General features: G+C 37.2%; 1 protein-coding gene across 21 annotated transcripts in view; it reads left to right on the forward strand.

Annotated features, from left to right (window-relative positions):
* AKAP11 (A-kinase anchoring protein 11) overlaps window positions 1-4504 on the forward strand; it is a 51785-nt gene extending 47281 nt beyond the window's left edge. For all 21 annotated transcript variants that reach the window (XM_011534904.2, XM_047430073.1, XM_047430077.1 and 18 more), the window contains one exon: window positions 331-4504. In XM_011534904.2, coding sequence (XP_011533206.1) covers window positions 331-471 — 141 coding nt within the window. In that variant the 3' untranslated portion in view covers window positions 472-4504. The remainder of the gene's footprint in view (window positions 1-330) is intronic.
* The last annotated feature ends 5454 nt before the right edge of the window (window positions 4505-9958 follow it).

Here is a 9958-nt window from a genome sequence, read left to right on the forward strand (position 1 = left end):
GTATTTAGTTAGGTGAAGAATTTCCTGTAGAAACTCAGCCTCTGCATGTCCATGCAGACTATTTGCTTGGTGAGGTTTGTGGAGCTCTGTCTCCAGCGATCCCAAAGTGTCATTCTCTGGAGGAGATGTGTTTATAAAGGGGAAGAAGGGAAAATGTTTAATTTGGGTAAAGGGGTAGCGGTTTAGAGGGGAAGACCTTGTTATAACTAGGAAACGGTATTTAATTGTAAACAGCAGGATTCTTAAGTTTCAGCTAATATTGAAAATAAAAATAAAAGCTTTGTTATAAAATTGTTTTTGGTTAATGTTTGACACATCTTTCTTTCTTAGCTTTCAAAACAATTACAAGAGAAAGGATGGAAAGTGGGAGACCTCCTGCAGGCTGTGCTTCAATACTATGAAGTGATGGAAAAAGCTTCCAGTGAGGAGAGATGCAAGTCGCTGTTTGATTGGCTCTTGGAAAATGCATAGAGCAAACCCCAAACCAGTATATTTTAGTATTTGTTTGGGGAGGGGAACAAGCCAATAAAGATGTTTAGGATAAAATTTGAATAGTGAATATTAACATCGTAAGTCAGTTGGGAGGCAAGTAAATATAGCTTTCTGAGCGCTTTGTGTTATCACTCGGTGTATATAGTTCATACTTTTGTAATCTGTCAAAATACTACCTTCATTTATTCTTCTATACACATGTGTAGTGTGTCAAGACCCTAAGAACATGTATTTGAAGGAAGGTCTAACCAGGGGGTTTTCAGGGGCATTGTCTGACCACATTCTTTTTGTATCCAAATAGTGCTGCTAGAAACTGCACTGAAGTGGCTGAGGATAGGTTCCAGTGATAGAGTTATAATTTTGCTCCTTTGCAAACAAATGGTATCTAATTAATAACTAGTCTGACATCAGAAAATAAAATTGAGGCTGATTTTTAAAAATTTCTAGTAGATTTTTGGCCTTTCCTGTTTTTAAAAATCAGTTTCATTTTCATATTTCATAGATCAGCTATTGGTAGCTTTTTGATTTCCCCAAACTATTTAATTTCTTAGCAGAAACATTAGTATTTTAGGTTTCTATAAACACTATAAGTGATAGTTTCCCCCATCCTTTCATTGACATTATTTGCCAATGCTGCCAGTCATTCTGGCATGAAAGGTGTGTGTGTGTGTGTGTGTGTGTGTGTGTGTGTGTGTGTGTGTAAGGGAGTACTTTAACCTTGCCAGTTTGTTCCCTCTTTTATTTTACTGTTTTCTTTTTAGAAACCCACTGTTAAAATTTAAAAAGGTGCTTTAAAATAAAACGCCTATAAAGATTGTGCAGTAAGAATTTTTATTGACAATAATTAAAATTTTTTTTGACAATTTTGGGTTCCCAACTTATCTTACAAGTGAAAACTTAAATTGTAAAACATGTTGAAATTTTAAAAATTAATGTTAATATGGAAATGCATTTAGAGAAGCCCAGTAGTTTTTATTGTTGGATTTTTGAAAAAACCTCTACCAAGAATGTGGTGTTTTTTTTGTTTGTTTGTTTGTTTGTTTTAGAAAAATTGGGATTTCCCCCCACCCCGCCCCACCCAGATAAACTATATCTACACTGTCTCGTCAAGTTCTCTGACACGATCTTTCTGGGCTCTACATTTCCTACTAGTTTGTGTCCAGAAACTGCAAGTTGACATGAATAGAGGACAAAGGTTGTGTCTTGCTTTTGTCTCTCTCTTCCCTCCCTGCAACTCTCTCTCCCCTCCTCCCACTCTCTTCCCCCTCCCCCCTCCTCCCACTGTCTCTCACCTCCCCCACCCCCCACTCTCTCTCATCTCTCGCTGTGTCCTGTGTATGTGTGGGTGTGTGTGTATTTGGGTGTGTAAATGTTGGTTCTTCCACTACTGGATTTTGTAATCTAGGATAAATCACTTTTTTTGGGGACTTTGATTTTGCTCCATTACGTTTTCATTTTTTCTGAGCACTGACTGTTCTGAAAGCTGCACAAAACGTAGAAAGAAGACATAGCGCCTGCCAGGGAATAGGAAATGAGGGCACTTACACATTAATGTGAATTAGTAATTGTGGTATAGAAATGTTTTATAGTGAAAGATTCAAATTTGCTTTTCAAGAAAAATGCCAAAAGCTATTTAAATAATTCGAGGTTACATCGTAGGTTTTGATTTTTCTCAATTTAAGATACAGAAATACAGCAAGCCTTAATATAAAGTTTCCTAAAGTTTCTTCAAGTATTTTTTAAGGTGGAGAAATGCAGGAATTGTATAACCAGAATTGTTCCTGCCTTTAGCTTTTCAGAACTTGAGATGTGGCAGCACTGGACTGGGTTTTTTTAAATGTTAGGACTAGGAATGTTTGCTCTTGTTAATTATGAATTAATTGATTATTAAGTTTAGAATGCATTTTTACAAGTATCTAACTATCAAATTGTGTTTAGTAACTTGAGTGTATGCACAAGTTTGATCAACAGCAAAATAGAGTTCTGAATTTCTTTTAAAGTGATGATATATTATTTTGTGAAACTTTGTGTTTGAAAATGTTTATTTCTGTTTATGGTGTAATCATTCTGAGGTGAGGCTTTTCTTATTTCCTTTGCATTTTGCTAGAGCTGTGCTGAGTTCAGCATTTGCTTATTTAACCACTACATAATGACAGACCAGTTATTAGGTATTAGCATGTGTGGTAATAATAATAGTGGAACTTCACACTTACATCAATTCAGTGCAGGGGCATAGAATAAAATATTAAATATTGGCAGATGTATGAAAAGAAGTGTGAGTTAAAAATATTGAATATTGGCAGGTGTGAAAACAAGTGTCAAAATTCCTCATATAGAGAAAATAATTTTGAGTTTAGAGTATTATCTTTTAATTAAGTGTAGTCTAAACTTAACTTTCTGTAAAGGCACTTTGTGGTTTTTCCAAAGATGTTCTAGATCTATTTGGTTGCTCTATAGTCAAACAGCTCTTTTGAAGACAACTGTCTTATTTTATTACAAATTGGCTTGACATATTTATACTGTAACATTGTAATATTGCTGTGCTGTACATTTTGGCCCTTACGAAATACGTCTTTTTCAGAACTGTTAAAGTTTTGATGTACATCGAGCTGAATTCTGTTTTTACCAGTTTCAAAACCTTCAAGTGATATGTGGAAAAAAGTGAATGAGACCTCTGATAGGGGGTTTTCAGAACCTTGTTCACACCAAAATGTGACAGTTCTTTCATGTTTTCCTAAACCAAGTTAAAATTACATGTATATTTTGGTGTTAAGGTTGATTTTTAAGATACTTCTGATTTGTACAAAAGGAATGTTTCCTTTATAAATCACAGAAGAAAATGACAATATCTGTTGGATATTTGATATAATTTAATGGTGTTATAAAACCTTTAAGAGGATTCATGGTGAATATATGTGATAACATCTTTATACTTTGAAAAATGTTCCACTTACCCTTCAGATATTTGTTGTAAGTTAATTCAATTCTTAATACTTTAATTTTGCTCCAACAAGGGCTTTATGTTGCTGGTAAGAGAATTTATTTACTAAATGCACTATGTATAAAGTGAAAGATAGTTTACTTATCTGACTTTGATATTAGATGGCTGACATTAGTGCACATAATGCAGAGTTTAACCTTGATTCTTCAACAGAGTCCAGATTTAAATGTCTACTTAGTTAATTAGTTAGCTGATATTCTTCCACAATTAATATATTCAATTTCCCATCAGTATATCACTTTAAATTTTATGTTTTTCTAAGGAAACTTTCCACAGAATTTTAAACAACTGATGCATCCATACTCAGGGTGTAGGGAGAATACTTTGCATTTAAAAACCCTGTCCACCTGTCACCAGCACAAGAGAATTAGAGCTTCAGTGAGAATTTAGAAAAATTATACTAAAGTGAGATGCATTTTTTCTCATTTTCAGCAAGACTCCTCTAAGCATTTACTCATTTACTGTATTCCTGCTCTGAAGATGTGGATACAGAATTAGTCACTCTTGTCACTTTATTTATTTATTGGTTTTTTTTTAACCATCTGTGTACATTCCTTTCATAGGGTAGAGTTCTAGTTCTAGAAGTTCTTATTTTGTTTTTGTTGTAATGTTTGAATACTATTTAATATCCGGTTTTAATATTGCTGGATTTGCTACCTTTGGTTACTTGTGCAGTGTTAAAAGTAATCCACTTTCTTGTTTAATATACCAGATACATAGCAAAAGCAGCTTGGAATAATTATAGCTGTTTATTTGGCTGTGCTCAGTTACTATATTAAGATCTTGTACTGTGTAACAGTAACTCTTTTTTGCTTTTCAGTAATTTAATATGTTCACTTAACAAAATACGAACTTTGAGATGCACTAAAGTTTTGTTTCAGCAGTGGCTCAAAAAATTTCAGAAATTACTTTTGTAATTATTTGCAATTAATTGTTCTTTTATCTTACAATTGTTTAAGCCTGTGATCTTTCTTCTCCCAGCTAAGAGTTCTTCAATAAATTTAAGAAATACCTGGTCTTGGTTTTCATTCTATAATATCTCATTAACTGCTCTGTACTGAGTGGGACTGCTATGACAGAAGACCACATAAGAGGACTGAAGTGCTAGATCATGGTTTTGAGAACAAGAGAAGTTAGAAATATTTCCAATTGGACACTAGATTCTACCTACTTATAGATACCCCAAATGCAGACATAGTGACTTAAAAGGCTGGTTGCCCAACCTGTTTTTGCAAAGTAGAATATTATGGTTGCCTTGAATATGAACATGGCTATGAAATTCTTCTGGCCTGGTTTGAACACTCTTTCCATAATAAGACCATACCTCTGTTAAACCATGTACACAAGATAACTTAAAAGCTGCTGGGTTTTTTTTTTTTTAATTACTAATGGATCTGACTTTGTCTTAAGAATTTTTTTCCTTTTAAATAGACCATTTTTAGAGCACTTTTATTTAGATGCACAGCAAAATTGAGCAGAAAATACAGAGCTCCCGTATACCCTCTTTGCCCAGCCTCCTTCGGTGTCAACACCCCACAACAGAGTGGGACATTTGTTACAATCTGTGGTCCTGCGTTGACACACACACCATTATCATCCACAGTCCATAGTTGACATTAGAGTTCACTCTTGTGCATTTGTAGGTTTGGACAAATACATAATTATATGTACATAACTGTAATATCATACAAATAGTTTTACTGTGCCCTATCTTAATGTAATTTAAGCCCAGAAATTAGGAAATTGTTTTAAAATTTTTTTCATGTTTTAAAATGCTAGGAAATAATAGCAAACAATGAGAAGGTTTGGTTGTAAGTGCACCCCAGTTACTAAGCAAACCAAAAGTGCTGAGAAGAAGTAAGCAAGATTCCATAGATTATAATGCCAAAAAGGAAGTATGGCTCAAAAAGAATGGGAAATGTGGCAAAGGACATTTGACAGTTTTACACAGAGGGATCATATGTGATTTGTATCTTAGCTAGGACAGAGAGGAAGGTGAGGGACAGGGCTTGAATTACCTCAGATTTTTTAAAGTGTGAGATGGAGAGGTCATTTATCTAAGGATGAATGTACTGTTGTTCCTATAATACAAAGAGTAAAAATCAGTGTTTTTGCGTCATTGAGTTTACAGCAAGAACAATAAAGAGTATATTTTGCACTTTTTTCTCTATCCTTTGTAATTTTATAGTCACCTCTCATTTTAACTTTTGGTCAAGGAGGGTAATACTTTAGACTGGAGAGAGTGAAAAACAGTTTCAAGAGGGGGTTGAAGCCCCAATTTTGAGTTTAACTCATCCCTCTGCACCCCTACCCCCTTTTAAACAGACACCTAAATGAATTTGTTAAAGCACGGGATTAAAACCAGACTTCTGTGTACTGAATTCTGCCCGTCTGTATGTTTTGGTCTGGTGTAGAATCTTTTAAAAATAGTTACCAAACTTAAAAATAAAGATTTCACATTTAAATAAGTTTTGTATTTTCATCTTCTTGAAACAATTGAAAGCTCTGAAGCAGTGACTGGGCTCTTATATGGCAACAATTTAGCAGGAGCTGAATAGTGATTGCCCCTTTAATCCCAGAGTAAGTTCTCTTTTTGCCTCTGGCATGACTTACTCCAATTCCCTCATTTCTGTTGCCTGCTGGGGCCTTGTAGACAGTTGAGATGCACCCACTGACTTAAAGCAGATAAGATAATGTGCTTAGAAAATCTGAACAACATTCTAGTGACTCTTTCATTCTCTAGGGTTGCTCAAAGAGGGGAGGAACATTCTAGAAATTATAAAAGCTGAGTTTATTGCTCCTGAGTAGAAAACAAATAGTAATTGTTAAAAGCATAGTTTTATTTTTTTTTAAGTATGTGGAGAAGGGAGAGCCAGCATAGGTTTACCAAGAGCAGAGTCTATCAGATTTACACTTTATTTTCAGTAGAGTTATTTTGACATATTAGAGGATGAGAGATACAGTATCTAGATTTTATTGAGGCATTTTTATATGGAGAGAAGGAATGAATAACTGGCTTCCTAACGTTTTGAGAAATGTGTTCCCAAAGGCTTGTGGTTAATAGATCATTGTCTACCTGGAGGTCAGTGCTATGTGTCTATATTAGTTCTTGCATTGCTATAAATACCTGAGACTGAGTATAAGAAAAGAAGTTTAATTGGCTCACAGTTCTGCAGGCTCTGCAGAAGCATGGTAGCATCTGCTTCTGGGGAGGTCTCAGGAAGCTTCCAGTCATGGTAGAAGGCAAAGGGGGAGCAGGCACATCACATGGTGGGAGCAGGAGCAAGAGAGAAGGATGGGGGAGGTGCTACACACTTTTAAATGATCAGATCTTGTGAGAACTCACTATTGTGAGGACAATACCAAGAGGATGATACTAAACCATTCATGAGAAACTGTCCCTATAATCCAATCAACTCCTACCAGGCCCTACCTTCAACACTGAGGATTACAATTCAGCATGAGATCTGGGTGAGGACACATCCTGATCATATCAGTGTCATAGGCCATTTCATGTATGGCCTTTTTATCCAGCCGTGGAGTGAAGATTTTGTTGGAGTAAGCTCCTCAAGGATGTCAAAAAGCATTAGAGTTATTACATAGTAACTATACTGAGGGATAATATTCAAACAGTTGAAATGAACTGGGAGAGCGGATAAGAGACTTTTGAGTCTATTTCTTCCCTTTGTCCTTTGACCAGCCACAGATTTGACATTCTCCTCCAAAGGTGGGGAGGTTCTGTGTTTACATACTGCCATTTTATAACTAGGACTTGAATATTTTCCTTCAAATACTATATTTTTATGGCTTTCTTGATATAAACTTAGTTATTTCCCTGTTACTTAGTAAATTATATGAACCGGGACTTCTAAATATATGGGAACTGATGCTAAGGAATCCTATAAGAGCTTAAATCCTATAAGAGCTTAAAATGCTGTGGACTTTTGAGGAGTCACAAGGCTATCAGAAAAAAAAAAGGCCACCAGAACCACTAATAATCTACAATTAACCTCTTAACCTCTTTTCTGTTTATAACGGGATGTGGGTGGCTGTGGCAGGTGAATGTGGATTCCAGGAGATCGTGATGTTACAATAGCGTTTCCAACCTATAAATCTTCTTTGAGTCAACTTTAGATGGCTTGTGACAAACGCTGGGAGGTTAAGCTGCTTAATCTGAAACCCAGTGGACTTCACTGTCCTTGAACCCTGAGAAGCCATGGCTTCCAGAAGGAGGGGGCCCTTGGTTGAGTGACAAAGTCTGCAGTGATACAGAGCTGGTGAGACAGTATGTGGGAAGACAGATCCAATTAGGCCTTCATAGACCCAAATGGCTAAGTGCTCTAATAAGGTGGGGTAAATACTAGGTCTTGCATAAGTACAGAGTGGTAGGAGATGAAAATAGTCCGTGCCTTTATGGAGCTTCTTGTTTAGTGAAGCAGAGAGTCATTAAATGAGTGACTGTATACAGTGAAGTCCTCGCTTACGTCATTGAGAGGATCTTAGAAACTGCAACTTTAAGCAAAATGCCATATAATGAAATCATTATTTTCTCATCAACCTTATAATGAAGTGAGGTAAATATTTAATTACTGTTGTTCAAAGGTGTCGGAAGCTAAAGACGGGAATCTAGTCAAAGCTTCCCTAAAGCCGTTCTGAGGCTTAAGCTAGGTTTGAACTGAGTAGGAACCAGACAAGGGGAGTTGGAGGGTGGAGGTGAGAAGGGCAGGTGGGGAGAAGAGGTTTCCACTAGAGAAAAACCATGCACAAATGCCCGGGAGTATAGGACTTCTTTGGAAAACCAAAGACCAGTTTGGCTGGAGCATGAAGAGAAGTGACACATCCTGAGAAACACACATCTAGCTGGCTGTCAGCCAGGTGGTCCAAGAAAGTGTTTGTAGTTTGTTACACCACAAGTCACCGGTTTTAAGTCCAAGGCATGGCGGATGATCGTCTTCACTTGACACTGTGCTTTCCAGACCATGCCTAGAGTATTGTGTTTAGTTCCCGATACCATTTTACAAAGGACAGAGATACATGGAACCATCCACATCCATGACTGTCTAATGAGGCCAAGGAGCTAAAAATGTATTAAATGAGTTCAGTGAAAGACAAAAAGGCTGTTTGGCCTAAAGAAGGAGAGATGTAGGAGTAACCTCAAAACTGCCTTTAAATATATGAAGTGCTTTTAGTGGAGACAGATTAAAACCTGTGACCCTAGTGGAGGGGATGAGGTCCCATGAGGAGAAATTAGCAGTGGATTTCAGCTTGTGCTCTAAAAATTGGAGCTTTGCAATATGGGCGAGACCCCCTTAATGAAAAGGAGCATTTCTGGCCCTTGGAGAGGTTTCCACAGTGCTGGCTGATCACTCCTGCAAGTTTTGATAAGAAATCCAAACAGCTTATAACTTTGGATTAGGTGACCTTTGTGTTCCAACACGTCCTTTCCCACACACTACTTAATTTTTTCCACAGTCGTTTAGTGAAGTTGTTAAGAACCTGGGCTCTGGGGTCAAAAGAACTTGATTTAAAATCCCAGAGCAAAGGCCCAGGATGATGGTATCTTGGGGGATTTTCATTTTCTTCTGGCAGGTGCCTGGGGGCACAGCTAGTCTTGGAGCACCTTGATTTAAATTCAAGCTTTGAGGGTTTTGGATCCCTCTGGTGGCTTGATGTGCTGCATGTCCAGGTCAGGGCCTGTGTCTGGAAGGTGTAGCCCTTTGGGGTTACAAGTAGAGAGGGGATGGTTTATGAGAATCTCTTTGTTGGAGGGGGTGGGGAGAACTGACTTTTGCCTTTCTGGCCTTGTGAGTCTGCCAAAATACTATCCTGTATCACAGTCTTTTTTCCTTCAGGTTTGACAAATATTCTTAGGATGAAAGAGTGGCTTTGAATGCTCAGTGGTTTACTTCTTGGGGTTCTTTGCTTTTGCTAGATATTTGACCCATTGCATCCTCAATATCTTACTAGCTGTTTAAATGCTTTCAAGAAGGTGTTTCTTTTTTTTCTGAGACGGAGTTTCACTCTTGTCGCCCAGGCTGGAGTGCAGTGGTGCGATCTACATTCACTGCAGCCTCTGCGTCCCAGGTTCAAGCAATTCTCCTGCCTCAGCCCCTGGAGTAGTTGGGATTACAGGTGCCCGCCACCACGCCTGGCTAATTTTTTGTATGTTTAGTAGAGACGGGGTTTCACCATCTTGGCCATTCTGGTCTCAAACTCCTGACCTCAGGTGATCCACGCGCCTTGGCCTCCCAAAGTGCTGGGATTACAGGTGTGAGCCACTGGGCCTCCAGATGTTTCATATTTTATCCAACTTAATTACTTCTAATATTTTAATTTACATGAAGGACTTTTATTATTATTATTTTTTTTGCTTAGCTCCATGTGATTAACTGTTAATATCCTTTTAATTTTCTTTTACATTTTAATTTATCTTCTTGAAAGGGTTATATATGCATATGGTATTAA

The sequence above is a fragment of the Homo sapiens genome, chromosome 13 (assembly GCF_000001405.40).
Source record: "Homo sapiens chromosome 13, GRCh38.p14 Primary Assembly".
Lineage (NCBI taxonomy): Eukaryota > Metazoa > Chordata > Mammalia > Primates > Hominidae > Homo > Homo sapiens.